Below are 15,072 nucleotides of genomic sequence, written 5' to 3'. Positions count from 1 at the left end.
AGCCCTCAGTTGTTATCATCTTGCCTTTGTTTCTTTCCCTTTTTTTATATATTTTATTTTGAGATGAAGTCTTGCTCCGTCAGCCAGGCTAGACTGCAATGGCATGATCTCGGCTCACTGCAACCTCCACCTCCCGGGTTCAAGTGATTCTCCTGTCTCAGCCTCCCAAGTAGCTGGATTATAGGTGTATGCCACCATGCCCATCTATTTTTATTTTTTTAAGTAGAGATGGGGTTTCACCATGTTGGCCTGACCTCAAGTGATCCACCCACCTCAGCCTCCCAAAGTGTTGGGATTACAGGTGTGAGCCACTGCGCCCAGCCCGCCTTTTGTTTCTGAATGCCTCAGTTCTGGCCCCTGTGACTGACGGCTCCTTTTCCTAACTCCTAGGAATGTCAATGGTGTTCCCCTGGGTTTCAAAACACTGTAGTATCAAAATCACGATAAAGGAGGAATTAGGATTAAGATCTACCACTGTAGGTCATCCCTTCTCATCCTAGCCACTCAATAACTATTTGTGGAATAACATACAAATGGCATTATTTAATATTGTAGATAAAAATCTTCATACAACCTTAGGGTTAAACAATCCTAGAAAGTCTGTATTATGGCCACTTGTCTCATGTTCAGAACTCTCCCTTCCTCCCATCCAAGTAGGATGTGAGTCGTGGATGATATTTAATAATGATGATAGTTAATGTCTCTTCGTCCTTACTGTGTTTGAGGCACATAGACTTTAGGAAGGAGATACCAGTGTCATCATAATTGTACAGGTGACCAAACTGAGGTGCACATGGCTAAAGGCTTTTTCAAGGTCATTTGGCAAGATAATGGCATTGGGACCCAGGCCCCTTTAAATCCAAGTTACCATCAGGCTTCTACAGGTCATGTGCCTGAGCACTTCTTGATAAGAGACTTACATATTAACAGGCATCATTTTTGTTTTTAAAGTTCTTCCTGCAAAGCAATTCCCAAGTGTTCCTTGATGTATGGAGCAGAGATTGAAGAGCTGGTGAAGAGTTTTCTTAGTCGTGTGCACGTAGTCATGTGCACAGATACAGGGTCTGTGGTATTGGCTAGTCCTGGGGCACTGAATTTACTAAGGGTCATGTTACCTGCTTAGATCTGAGATGGGGGTGGGATTAGAAAGTGCATGCCTGCTTCCATGCCATAAAGAACCTACATTTGATAGAAAATGATTTTTACTATTCTGACCATTCAAAGTAATTATTGAGTATGCATGATGTAGCATCCATCAGCTAAACTCTCGAGCTCTGGACCCAACTCTCTTGCACTTGAGTCTTGGCTCGGCCACATACTAGCAGTGTGCATAAGGGTTTTATGCGCACCCTCTGTTATTCAGTTCTCTCATCTGTCAATGGGGTAATAATTATACTTACTTCAGCCAGGTGTGGTGGCTCACGCCTATAATCCCAGCACTCTGGGATGCCAAGGTGGGCAGATCACCTGAGGTCAGGAGTTTGAGACTAGCCTGGCGAACATGGTGAAACCCTGTCTCTACTAAAAATACAAAAAAATTAGCCAGATGTGGTGGTGCACCCCTGTAGTCCCAGCTACTTGGGAGGCTGAGGCAGGAAAATCACTTCAACCAGGGAGGGGGAGATTGCAGTGAGCCAAGATCATGCCACTGCACTCCAGCCTGGGGGACAAGAGTGAGACTTTGTCTCAAAAAAAAAAAAAAAAAAAGGAAAGAAAGAATTATACTCACCTCATCAGATTATTGTGGGGATTAAATTAATAAAATAAAGAAAGCTTTTAGAATGGTGTGCTCCAACATAGGTGCCATGCAAACATTTGTGGTTAATTGTGTTCTTGTTTTCCATGCAGATATAGACAATGGGGACACATTTTGTTTACAATATAAACAAAGTACAGGCCGTCATGGGATATATCTATCACTAGGATCATGAGAAAATTACTAAATAACTATGTAAGTTAATTTAAGTTAATGATAAATGCTATGAAGACAAATTAAGCAAGGTGGAGGTTGAAAGGGTGATGGGCAGGGTCTTCTTTAAAAAAGGTGATGAGCAAACACAGTGACTTAACATGAAGCCCTGGAGTCAAAAATACAAATGGCCAAGAAATTCCATGCTGAGGGAGTTCCCTGGGTCATGGCAATGTCAGTGAAGGTCTTTGGGGAAGGATTTCAGTAGGGAGACAGGACGGGTCTGATCCCTTGGGAAATGCAAGCCACTCGCTGGGCGACATTCAGGCAGGTGCATCAGGGCGTGATCATGGGGAAGACGATGCACTGCCAAGCCCAAGTGGCCCCAGTGGGTTTGGGGAAATATTGGGAAATGCTTACGAATAGGCAGGGCAGAGCTATGTTATGAGAAATCTGGAAAGCCAAGTACATATGTTGTAGGTTTGTTGTGGTAGGACATAGTCAAAGTGTTGGAGGATTTTGCATGACACAGTGATGCTGTTCTTTAGAGAAGACAAGACTGGGCTGCAGTTACAGGGCCAGCCAGTGGACACTGCTGGGGAGCCCAGAGCTTCCCATGGAGAGACTGGAGCCGAGAGAGGGCAGGGTTCCTTCTGAAGAACAGGCTTCGTGCTGCCTTGGGTGTGTGGGAGCTGGCTTCCCTTTCCATTGTGTTTGTGATGATAAATCCTGCACTTGGGATCTTTCCCCAGGTTACTCCCCTTAGACAACCAAGGCTCCTGCAAGGCTGGAAGAGAAAGGCCCCCCTTACTTTAAAGAAAAATGGTTGCCCCTTACCCTGCCCCTAACAACTGGCAGGGTTTGTCAGCCCAAGCCACAGAAATTCCAAGACCAGAGAGAAAGCAACCTTAAACCCCAGCTCAGTGTTCTTAATGTCAGAGATAGTAATCTTGAAAAATGAGTCTTTTCTCTCTGGAGGGCACTTAGGTCTAGATACAGAATATCCATGTTGTGCAGAGCATAGTGTCAGGCCCACCGTCGGCTTTTCCAGACATTAATCCATTTCAAGACCATACTGTGTGTCTTCAAGCCATGAGAATTAAGTGGAAATAATGGATGCCCATCTAGAAGGTAGCTACTGCCCTGTGACTAGAACTCGACACTTCAATAAGTATTCCAATACTTTGTGCAAGCCAGTGGAATGGGCAGAAAGGGGGCCTAGAGGAGAAAAGATTACGCTTTTCAGCCATGGAGGTGCCTGGCTGAGACTCACTATATCAGAAGACAGATGCACAAGAAGAAAGCACATACATGTATTCAATGTAAGTTTTATGTAACATGGGAGCCTTCAGAAATGAAGACCCAAGGAAACAGGGAAATCTATGGATGTTTAGGTTTGATGAAGACTTGGACAGTCATGCAGAAATATGATTGGACAAAGTGGGTGTGACCTAATGGTTATAAAATGAGGGGAACTTAGCAAGGCCTTTGTTCAGATTCGTCTTGGTGTTTTTTTGTCTTCATTCCTTTCCCCCCAATATAAGGAACAGTCTTCTGTAATGAGAGTCTTATGACTTATTTTAGAGAAAGGCCAGAGAATTCTTTCATGGCCTGCTTCAGGGGAGAATGGTGGAAGAAGGTCAGAGAGACCTTCCTGCTTCTGCTGTCTCCTTAAATGCCAGCATGTCATATTCTAGGGTAGCGTGTTCTGGTCCCTGTTACTCATCTTGTATTGTCCTTCAAGCGGCATCTTCCTGCTTCATTTCTTAGTCCTGCTTTATTTACGGCTTGCTCTTATCTTTCTCCCTCTTTCCTTTCTTCTTTACAAAGTAGATTCTCCTGGCAAGGTAGAATTGCAGTGCTCTTTCAAGGACTGAATGGCTGTTGCAATACGTGTGGCTTTTCATGCCTGTCATCTATATAGAGCCATATTCAAATAGGACGACCGGGGCTGGTTAGAGATGTCAGGATTTTAGTGCACCTACTGAAATGCACACTCTGGCCTCCACCAAGAGAGGGACATGGAAACAGGCCTAGGGAATGTAGTACTTTTGATCTTTATCCATACTCCTCCCTCCCTCTTACAACTCTCACAAAATTTGCCCTCAAAAGACACCTTTCATAAAAAGTCAAACATCTCACTTCCTTCTATAACTTCCCTGACTGGTTTGTATTCATTTGAGCTTCTCTTGCAAAGCTGAGCCTCGCTTTGAAAACTCTGGGATCTATTTCATTCTATATGCTGTGCACTTCACATGAGTTCCTTCTGTGCAAGCTGGAGACTCCTCTGGGCTCCTTCCCTGAGTGTTACGCTGGCTTCTTCCTAGACTTCTCATTCAGCTCGGTGTGTGTGTGTGCGTGTGTGTGTGTGTGTGCACGCATGTGAGCATTCACCCCCTAGCTGCAGGTGTAAGGGATGCAGGGATGGAACTCTTCCATCAGAGGATCACTAAAGGCATACTAATTAACTTGTTCTCTTTTTTTTCTCTGAAATAATTTTTCTCTTGGACATATTGAGAAGTAAAAGATTTCATTTTTCACTGAAAAATAAAATGTTCATGCTACCAACAGCCTGCTTTGGATTTCTGAAAGATATCTGCAAGGCCAGGAAGCACACTGCAGCTAGGCTTAATGCTGAAGGGCCCAATCCTCCTTTGAACAAAGGAGCCCTCGATTTACGCCTCTATGGCCCATTTTAGCAAGTTCAATCTTTCCATTAACCCCTGGTAACCATAATGACTTCCTAATACCAGTAAATTAACAAATACCGGGGTGCCACCAAATGCATCCCTGAAGTGCCTTTGGTGTGGTCCCCGGCCTGCTGAAACGAAGCGTGGGCCCCGCCTTTGTTCTTCCCCAGGACTTTTCTTGTGGGCTCACAGCACTTTGAATCTCAAATGAGCTGCCTAATTAATCTCCACAACTATCCTGTGAGACTTGTCCATTATCTTCACTTTGCAGATAGTAACAATTTATAGGACTTGGCTGAGGTCACAGGAAAATTAGCATCAGAGCCAGAATAAAATTCTGAGTTCCTAAACCCCTTTCCTCTTATCCTGTTCCCTAGACAACATCATTTCATCCTCTTGGTATAAAATTAGTAAGTGTGGCGGGGCCGTATTGCATCGTAATGAACTACTGTTTGGTACATGTGACCTAGAGGCTAAGGGCTTTTTTTTTTTTTAAATGCACAGTCTGAAAAGGTACTAAAACAATTATTTTTGGAATATGTCTTACAGAATGGCTTTTAGACGCCATGTGCCCATTCGTCTCCATGAAAGGAATGTCATTTACACAACCCACTGAACATCTCCGTGGTTCAGGTAGTCCTGTGCCAGGACCTGGAGAAGACGCTGACCCTCAGGTGTTTTCTTTTTTGCTGATAAAGTGTGGGTGAAATGTGTTGGACTTGGTGCATGCTGCAATAATTGCAAATGAGATGATCTGCACATGAATTTTCTTGGTGTGATTTTGTTTGATCTTTCTCGGTGTGGTTCTGTAATGGCAAGAGACATCTTCCTCTGCATCAGAGTATGAAACATCTTAAAAGGCATTGCATGGCTGAAGTGCAGGTCTGTATTTTTTAGAACTAGCTATTTGACAGGAAAGGGTGTAAATCCACATTGTGTTCATTCAATTCCACAAGCATTCATTGAACACCATCTCATGACAAGCCAGTGCCAGGGGCCGTGAATGGGGCTGGAGGCAGACACATTCCCAGGGTGACTTTAGAGTGGCCTCTCCTGTGTGCTCATTTGGAAAATCAGAAGGAAGATGACGCAGGCTTGATTCTGTCCGGCTCAGATGTTCAAGAACATTGTGATCACTTCAGATAATGTTTATCTTATTTATGATGTTGCACAGATGTTCAAGAACATTGTGATCACTTCAGATAATGTTTATCTTATTTATGATGTTGCACTGACACAGACTGTCAAGGCTGAATTCCTACCCTGCCTGTCAACAAGTAAACAAGTCCTTAAGCGGATTATGGGAACTAACTAAGGAGTAATTAGAAGCATTTTGTCAAGTCACTAGAATGGAATCCCAGGGTGGACCCTTTAGGAGAGGGAGAGTTCTTTGATAATGCAAACACATTCTTTAGATTCCAGGTTCCAGTGTGGCTTCTGGGTGGCAAAGTGAGAGGAGCTTGCTTTGGAGAAGTGGAGCTGGCCTTAGGAAGGCGTGTTTGACTCTGTTGACAATTATCAGTCAGGAGCTAGATCTGGGTAGGACAGTTAGAAACACTGACATAATTCTTACTTTGTTTTGTTGGCCTTAAGAATAAAAATTTTAAAATACAGATGATTATTCTATACTTTCAGGTTTATTATCAACCTGTAGCACTCAAAAGCTTTCAATTATTGTTAATATATTTGAGTTAAATATCAAAGTAATAGGCATTACTTACTTTTAGAAAATTGCAACCAATAAGAGGCATTTCATTTGTCGTGCATTTAACTTTTGAGACATAATGAATAGTTTCCTAAAACTTTTCAAAGCTGAATGTTATGGAAGAAACATTCTCACCATAACTCTTAAAAATTGCATATCCTTACAAGTGAATACCATATCAAAATATGAAAATCATTTCAGATATTTATTAACTACTTAAAACTGACAAATGGTAAACAGAAATGTCATTTCTTTCATTAGTACAGAGAAAGCTCCCTCACTCCTCCCAAATATCTATTGTGATGAATTGGTTGATTATTTTAAACAATGTAGTTGCACAAATAGACATTAATGTGAATGATGATAGCATGTCACTTCTGAGGAATTGCATTTAGGAGGTACGTGTATGACAGCTTATGTGTAATCTTCAGGCTTGTATTTATGCCACAAGAAAATAGACTTTCTTCAATGATTCACTTCATCACAGGTGGCCTACCTACCTGAAAGACATCTTCATGCCAAAGTTGGCTGACTTTCTCATGCACAACGAACCCATATTCCCGTAGGAATTGAAGGATATGACTAATCAGTTGAAAACAGTTCTTTCATTTGTTTAACATGTCAAACTCAGGAACAAGCCCCAAGGTTCAAGTTTTACTGAAAGACTTTTACCATAGTGCTTTTTTGACATAGAAAAGAAAAACAGAACAATAAAAAAAAGAAAGTCAACAATTTTTTCAGTGAAGAGACTCACAGAGATTGAAGGTTCTCCGAAAACATTCAGGCCAATGCATCATTTTACATATGAGAAAACTGAAGTCCAGAGGTGACAAAATTTGACAAATCTACATAGCTAAAATGAAACCAAACAGACTCGTAATCCTACTTGGTGCTGGAGGGAGGCTGCAATCTGGGGAACTTGTTATCCAGACATCCCAGCTGGTAGAGTGTGCTACTACATAGATAAAGTCACTGTGGTTAGTGTCTAGCCTCAGCTTTAAAGTTCTGGAAAATCAAATTTGTCAATATTCCCATGGTTATTTAGAGTTAGGGGAACTAATATAAATTCCAAAATATAAATTTATAAAAGAAAATATTGTGACTTTTCTTGTTCTCTATGTAGAACATGCCCATAATCTTCCATAATCATCCTTATGACATGCAGCATCCTTACAATGACTGAGAAGTGGTAAATTTGGAAGCTTCTTAGGTGAGTGTCGAGAGGGCCGAGGAACAGAATAGTCTCGGGACATCTAGTCATCCCAATTTTACAATTGAGCTATAGGCTGATAATACCACTGTCTCTGTTCTCTAAATAAGCATGGCAAAATTGTGGTTTTCTGAATGTCGTTCATCAATAATCCAAGCTGGCTTTTTCACAGTTAGTGTCTAGATAAGGTTCAACAACATACATGTGGTTTCTCATGGTTGTATTTTATTTACATTCTATTCCCCCTTTCAGACCAATCAATCACCTTGATTGAAGTTCTGACTGTGGTCTTGCTAAGAATTCTTCTGGAATATGATCCCTTTTGCTTGTCTCTTCAGCTTGCTTGGCAACTTTCTACCCACTTTCCTCAAAATTCCGAGACATCAGACTCACCTCCAGTTCATCTCCAGTTCATGTGACAGCTGCTGTCCCTGCTGGTGAAGTGGCTGTGCTGTCTGGGGTATACACCCTGGGGTTCATCGTCACACACCAAGAATTCAGGACACAATCACATGTGGGTGGGTTAGGGAGTGGAAAATTTAATAGATAGAAGAAAGGAGAGAGGAGAGCAGCTCTTAGAGAGAGAGAGAGAGAGAGACATCTGAAAAGTGGGGAGGCAGTGGACCAAAACAGATATAATAAGTTGGAGAAGGCGGTGTCTGATTTACATAGGGCTCACAGACTGGTTCCATCAGGTATGACGTCTACATAGTGTGCGGGGGAAGGCTGGTTGCCCCACCCTAATCTAATTATGCAAATAGGCTTTCCAGTTGATCAGAGCCATCTTCTCTGCTCCTTACAATACACTTGGCTGGCAGGGAAGGGAAGATGGAGCCACCAGTTTGAAAATGTCTAGTCCTTAGTTCCTGCTGGCATTCACCTATGCAAGCTCCCAGCTTGCAGGCTGCTCTTTGTTAGAAAATGACTTGGGGCTGCTTTTCATTAAAAAGAAAAGCCTTACCCAGGACTCCCATGCCCTTGCTATCTGCCTAAGCAATTCCTTCTTAACTCCTATATCCCTGGGGAGATGGTAGGAGTGCTGCCCCTGTCTCCTTGCTTGAGAGGGGAACTGCCCCAGGGAACCACCGCCATCTTTCTCTATTGCCTGTGTGACTGCAGCATGGTGAGGTTCTAAGTCCCTGTACCCCTTTTGACTAAGGATGTTTTCCTTCTTCCCCATGATTTTGCTGGAGAATGAGAGGCAGAATTAAAACGTGCTGCATTTGTATTCAGATGTAAAGTTTGTGTCTCTGCAGAAAGCATTGCTTGTGTAGAGAAGGAAAGCATATTGTTTTAGTCCACAGGGGAGCTAGAAATGTGATCAGTCATCAGAATAAGGCAGATGTGTGCTAAATATTTCAGTCACTTATTAGCAGATAATTTATTGGCTTATTATCAAATGTAGCAAATATTTGCCATGTCTGCTTTGGGTTACTTTTTTTGGGAAGCCTTAGGCCGATTTTTGGCAACAGGGATTGAAAACATTTTACCACTTCCCTTACTGAAAAGGCCTTGTTGCCTGGGTGGGTGCCCAAGTCGTTGGTCTCACAGCTGAGGAAATCGACGATGCAGACACACCAAGGACGAGGTCAGAGCAGAAGCAGAAGTTTAACAGGTGAAAGAAAGAGAACAGTTCTCTGCTGCAGAGAGGGGTCCCAGAAAGGGTTGCCGTCCCACAGTAAAATGAAAGGGTTTTTTTCATGCGCGTCCGTGTGAAGAGACACCAAACAGGCTTTGTGTGAGCAACATGGCTGTTTATTTCACCTGGGGGCAGGCGGGCTGAGTCCGAAAAGAGAGTCAGCGAAGGGAGATAGGGGTGGGGCCGTTTTATAGGATTTGGGAAGGTAATGGAAAATTACAGTCAAAGGGGGTTGTTCTCTGGTGGGCAGGGGCGGGGGTCACAAGGTGCTCAGTGGGGGAGCTTCTGAGCCAGGAGAAGGAAATTCACAGGGTTAATCACTCAGTTAAGGTGGGGCAAGAACAAATCACCATGGTGGAATGTCATCAGTTAAGGCGGGGCAGGGCCTTTTCAGTTCTTTTGTGATTCTTCAGTTACTTCAGGCCATCTGGGCGTATACGTGCAAGTCACAGGGGATGCGATGGCTTGGCTTGGGCTCAGAGGCCTGACATTCCTGCCTTCTTATATTAATAAGAAAAATAAAACAAAATTGTGTTGAAGTGTTGGGGCGGTGAAAATTTTTGGGGGGTGGTATGGAGAGAGAATGGGCGATGTTTCTCAGGGCTGCTTCAAGCGGGATTAGGGGCGGCGTGGGAACCTAGAGTGGGAGAGATTAAGCTGAAGGGAGGTCTTGTGGTAAGGGGTGACATTGAGGGGGTTGTTAGAAGAAACATTTGTCATACAGAAAGATTGGTGATGGCCTGGATACGGTTTTGTATGAACTGAAAAACTAAATGGAATAAGAGAAGGAGAAAAACAGGTATAAAAGGACTAAGAATTGGGAGGATCTAGGACATCTAATTAGAGAATGCCTAAGGAGGTTCAGCATAGTCCTTCCAGCGAAGATTATTTATTTACTTCAAGAGTTAAGAGTGGCAGTTTGGGGATAGCATGAGGAGATATCAGCCATGATGGCTTGGAGAAACAGTGTAAACTGGCAGTGTAAACAAGAGCAGGGCATGTATGAGTAGTTGAGAACGGAGAATAGGAGTATGACTAGACGGAAAATAGTAGGGATGACAAGTTTTTTTGGGGGCACAGTCTAAGTTGGTCTGGTGTCTGGGATGAGACTGGGGCCTAATAAAAAGGAGCTTAAATGGACTGTACCTTGTAGCATTCTGAGGACAGGTCTGACTTCTGAGAAGGGAAAGTGGTAAAAGTATTGTCCAGTTCTTTTTAAGTTGGTGGCTGAGCTTGGTGAGGTGTGTTTTTAAAAGACCTTTAGTCCGTTCTACTTTTCTTGAAGACAGAGGACTATAAGGGATATAAACTGAAAAACTGCTTGGCTAATTTGACTAATAAAGCCTGGTCTGTTATCAGACTGTATAGAGGTGGGAAGGCTAAACTGAGGAATTATGTCTGACAGAAGGGAAGAAATGACTGCGGTGGCCTTCTCAGACCCTGTAGGAAAGGCCTCTACCTATCTAGTGAAAATGTCTACTTAGACTAAGAGGTATTTTAGTTTTTGTGACTCGGGGCATGTGGAGTAAAGCTAATTTGCCAGTCCTGGGCGGGGGCAAATCCTCGAGCTTGATGTGTAGGGAAGGGAGGGGCCTGAATGATCCTTGAGGAGTAGCAGAATAGCAGATAGAATAGCAGATGGAACACTGAGAAGTTATTTCCTTGAGGATAGATTTCTACAATGGAAAGGAAATGAGAGGTTCTAAGAGATGGGCTAGTGGCTTGTAATATGGGGAAATGGGGTGAATGTCAGGTGGATCAGAGAGATGCAGTCATGGGGATCAGGTGTGGTATCAGGAATAATGTGGGAGGCCAGATTGAAGTCTGGGCCAGGAACAATGGTAATTGTGGGACTTAACAAAGAATGAGTACAGCTGAAGGAGCCGGGGAGCAGAAAGTATATGCGTCAGGTATGAGGAAGAAAATAGATTTTGGAAGTTATGAGAAATGTAGAGAGTGAGTTGAACATAGTTTGTGATTTTTAGGGCCTCTAAAATTATTAAAGCAGCGGCAGCTGCTGCATGCAGACATGAGGGCTAGGCTAAAACAGTAAGGTCAAGTTGTTTGGACAGAAAGGCTACAGGGTGGGGTCCTGGCTCTTGTGTAAGAATTCTGACCGCACTAACCATGCCTAGGAAGGAAAGGAGTTGTTGTTTTGTAAGGGATTGAGGTTTGGGAGATTAATCAGACACCATCAGCAGGGAGAGCACCTGTGTTTTTGTGAAGAATTATGCCGAGGTAGGTAACGGATGGAGAAGAAATTTGAGCTTTGGAGGGGGATACCCGATATCCTTTGGAGAATAAATGCTGAAGGAGCAGAAGTATGTCTTGTTGAGAAGATTCAAAGGAGGGGCTACAAAGAAGAAGGTCATCAATATATTGAATAAGGTGAGAAGTGGAGGGGTGGAAAGAAAGTAGATCATGAGAAAGAGCTTGGCTGAAGTAATGAGGGCTGTCCCTGGAACCTTGCGGCAGCACAGCCCAGGTAAGCTGCTGAGCCTAATGGGTGTCAGGGTCAGTCTAAGTGAAGGCAAAGAGAGGCTGAGATGAAGAGTGCAAAGGAATAGTAAAGAAAGCATGTTTGAGATCCAGAACAGAATAATGGGTAGTAGAGGGAGGTATTGAGGATAGGAGAGTATATGGGTTTGGCACCACGGGGTGGATAGGCAAAACAATTTGGTTGATAAGGCACAGATTCTGAACTAAGTTGTAAGCCTTGTCTGGTTTTAGGACAGGTAAAACGGGGGAATTGTAAGGAGAGTTTATAGGCTTTAAAAGGCCATGCTGTAGCAGGTGAGTGATAACAGGCTTTAATCCTTTCAAAGCATGCTGTGGGATGGGATATTGGCATTGAGTCGGGTAAGCGTGATTAGGTTTTAATGAGATGGTAAGGGGTGCATGATCGGTCGCCAAGGAGGGAGTAGAGGTATCTTATACTTGTGGGTTAAGGTGGGGGAATACAAGAGGAGGACGCAAAGGAGGCTTTGGATTGGGAAGAAGGGCAGCAATGAGATGCAGCTGTAGTCCAGGAATAGTCAGGGAAGCAGATAATTTGGTTAAAATATCTCGGCCTGATAAGGGAACTGGGCAGGTGGAGATAACTAAAAAAGAGTGCATAAAAGAGTGTTGTTCAAGTTGGCACCAGAGTTGGGGAGTTTTAAGAGGTTTAGAAGCCTGGCTGTCAATACCCACAACAGTTATGGAGGCAAGGGAAACAGGCCCTTGAAAAGAAGGTAATGTGGAGTGGGTAGCCTCCATATTGATTAAGAAGGGGACAGACTTACCCTCCACTGTGAGAGTTACCTAAAGCTCGGTGTCCATGGTGGTCTACAGGGCTTCTGAGGCGATCAGGCAGCGTCAGTCTTCAGCCACTAAGCCAAGAAGGAGTCAGTCAGAGAGCCTTGGGCCAGAGTTCCAGGGGCGCTGGGAGTGGCTGCCAGGTGAGTTGAACAGTCCGATTTCCAGTGGGGTCCCGCACAGATGGGACATGGCTTAGGAGGAATCCCTGGGCTGCAGGCATTCCTTGCCCTGGTGGTCAGATTTCTGGCACTTGCAGCAAGCTCCTGGGGGAGGAGGTTCTGGAGGAATGTCTGGCCACTGCGGTTCAGGCATTTGGAAGTTGTTGTGTGCTGGAGATGTGGCTGGGGTTTGTCTCACAGTGGAGGCAAGGAATTGCAACTTCCTTTTTTTTATTATTGTACACCTTGAAGGTGAGGTTAATTAAGTCCTGTTGTGGGGTTTGAGGGCCAGATTCTAATTTTTGGAGTTTTATTTAATGTCGGGAGCAGATTGGGTAATAAAATGTGTATTGAGAATAAGATGGCCTTTTGACCTTTTAGGGTCTAGGGCTGTAAAGCATCTCAGGGTTGCTGCCGAACGAGACATGAACTGGGCTGGGTTTTTATATTTGATGAAAAAGAGCCTAAACGCTTCTGATTTGGGATAAAGAAAAAGGAGCATTAACCTTGACTATGCCTTTGGCTCCAGCCACCTTTTTAAGAGTAAATTGCTGGGCAGGTGGGGGAGGGCTAGTCACAGAACGAAACTGTAAGCCAGACCAGGTGTGAGGAGGGGAGGCGATAAAAAGATTACAGGGTGGAGGAGCGGAGGCTGAGGAAGAATTGGGACCTAGCTTGGCCTGGCAAGGAGGGGAGAGGTCAGATGGGTCTGTAGAAAAGGAAGATTAGAAAGACTCAGTGACGCTTGGGGTTGGGACTGAGGGGACAGGCGGGAGGGAAAGAAGGAAGATTCAGAATGAGTTGCACTGGGCACAGAGACTAGGAAGGGACTGATGTGTAAAAGAATGCCTGGATGTCAGGCACCTCAGACCATTTGCCCATTTTATGACAAGAATTATTTAGATCTTGTAGGATGGAAAAATTGAAAGTGCCGTTTTCCGGCTATTTGGAACTACTGTAGAGTTTGTATTGGGGTCAAGAGGCATTGCAGAAGAAAATGAGACACTTAGATTTTAGGTCAGGTGAGAGTTGAAGAGGTTTTAAGTTCTTAAGAATACAGGCTAAGGGAGAAGAAGGAGGAATGGAAGGTGGAAGCTTGCCCATAGTGAAGGAGGCAAGCCCAGAGAAAAGAGTAGAGACACGGAGAAGGGGTGGGGGTTTCTTGCCCTCCAGAAAAGCAGAGAAAGGGTTGGGGCACAGAAATAAGGGATTGGGGCACAGAGATAAGAGGTCAGGGTGTGGAAATAAGGGATTGGGGGTTCTTGCCCCCTAGAAAAGTGGGAAGGGGGGTTGGGGCATGGAAATAAGGGATTGGGGCACAGAGATAAGAGGTTGGGGTGTGGAAATAAGGGATTGGGTCACAGAAATAAGAGGTCGGGGTGTGGAAATAAGGGATTGGGGGTTCTTGCCCCCTAGAAAAGCGGGACTTGCCACTAAGGGTGAAGGAGAAGGGGTTGAGGGGTACTTTCCCCTCCCCCAGAAAAGTGGGACTTGCCACTAAGGGTGAAGGAGAAGGGGTTGAGGGGTTCTTGCCCCTGCCCCAGAAAATCAGAGAAGGGGTAGAGACAAGAAGAGAAGGGGTTGGGGTACTTGCCCCTTCCCCAGAAAAGCAGGGAAGGGGTAGAGACACAGAGAGAAGGGGTTGGGGTACTTGCCCCTTCCCCAGAAAAGCAGAGAACGGGTAGAGACACAGAGAGAAGGGGTTGGGGTACTTTCCCCTTCCCCAGAAAAGCGGGACTTGCCGCTAAGGGTGAAGGACCAAGGCAGGCATCCCTGCATGGTCTGACACCCTTGAAACGTGGGTGAATAATCAGAGAGGTGTCCCTGCAATGATTAAACAGCAAGGGAAGGCTGCCTTCCCAGTCCGTGACCAGCGCTGGAGTTTTGGGTCCACAGATAAAACGTGTCTCCTTTGTCTCTACCAGAAAATGAAAGGAATTGAAACTAAGAGAAGGGAGAGATTGAAGTGTGGCGCCAAGATTGAAAGGAGAAAGAGGTTGAGGGATAGTGAGGGAGGTTGGAGAAGAGAGTAAAAAGAGGCGGCTTACTGGATTTAAAATTGGTGAGATGTTTCTTGGGCTGGTTGGTCTGAGGACCTAAGGTCGTAGGTGGATCTTTCTCATGGAGCAAAGAGCAGGAGGACGGGGGATTGATCTCCTAAGGGAGGTCCCCCGATCCGAGCCACGGCATCAAAGTTCACTCGAGTCCATGTGAAGAGACACCAAACAGGCTTTGTGTGAGCAACATGGCTGTTTATTTCACCTGGGGGCAGGCGGGCTGAGTCCGAAAAGAGAGTCAGCGAAGGGAGATGGGGTGGGGCCGTTTTATAGGATTTGGGAAGGTAATGGAAAATTACAGTCAAAGGGGGTTGTTCTCTGGTGGGCAGGGGCGGGGGTCACAAGGTGCTCAGTGGGGGAGCTGCTGAGCCAGGAGAAGGAAATTCACAGGGTTAATCACTCAG

General features: G+C 44.6%; 2 long non-coding RNA genes across 2 annotated transcripts, besides 2 other annotated features; both read right to left on the bottom strand.

The window, feature by feature from the left end:
- Positions 1-1,814: 1,814 nt before the first annotated feature.
- On the bottom strand, positions 1,815-8,124 carry LOC130494219 (uncharacterized). Its single transcript, NR_185888.1, has 2 exons — positions 7,908-8,124; positions 1,815-2,696 (listed from the first exon to the last, which is right to left on the bottom strand). It is a non-coding gene; the product is annotated as an uncharacterized LOC130494219 (long non-coding RNA).
- Positions 8,852-9,580: an enhancer, noted in NCBI's record as "NANOG-H3K27ac hESC enhancer chr13:109923095-109923823 (GRCh37/hg19 assembly coordinates)". NCBI's record gives its function as "activates a minimal SCP1, AML or CMV promoter by ChIP-STARR-seq in naive H9 embryonic stem cells {active_cell/tissue: H9 hESC(naive)}" and the evidence as "EXISTENCE:reporter gene assay evidence [ECO:0000049][PMID:30033119]".
- Positions 9,252-14,840, bottom strand: LINC03061 (long intergenic non-protein coding RNA 3061). Its single transcript, NR_185883.1, has 2 exons — positions 14,660-14,840; positions 9,252-12,716 (listed from the first exon to the last, which is right to left on the bottom strand). It is a non-coding gene; the product is annotated as a long intergenic non-protein coding RNA 3061 (long non-coding RNA).
- Positions 12,098-13,056: an enhancer, noted in NCBI's record as "H3K27ac-H3K4me1 hESC enhancer chr13:109919619-109920577 (GRCh37/hg19 assembly coordinates)". NCBI's record gives its function as "activates a minimal SCP1, AML or CMV promoter by ChIP-STARR-seq in primed H9 embryonic stem cells {active_cell/tissue: H9 hESC(primed)}" and the evidence as "EXISTENCE:reporter gene assay evidence [ECO:0000049][PMID:30033119]".
- Positions 14,841-15,072: the final 232 nt, after the last annotated feature.

The sequence above is a fragment of the Homo sapiens genome, chromosome 13 (genome assembly GCF_000001405.40).
Source record: "Homo sapiens chromosome 13, GRCh38.p14 Primary Assembly".
NCBI lineage: Eukaryota > Metazoa > Chordata > Mammalia > Primates > Hominidae > Homo > Homo sapiens.
This window is presented reverse-complemented; position numbering and strand designations above follow the sequence as displayed.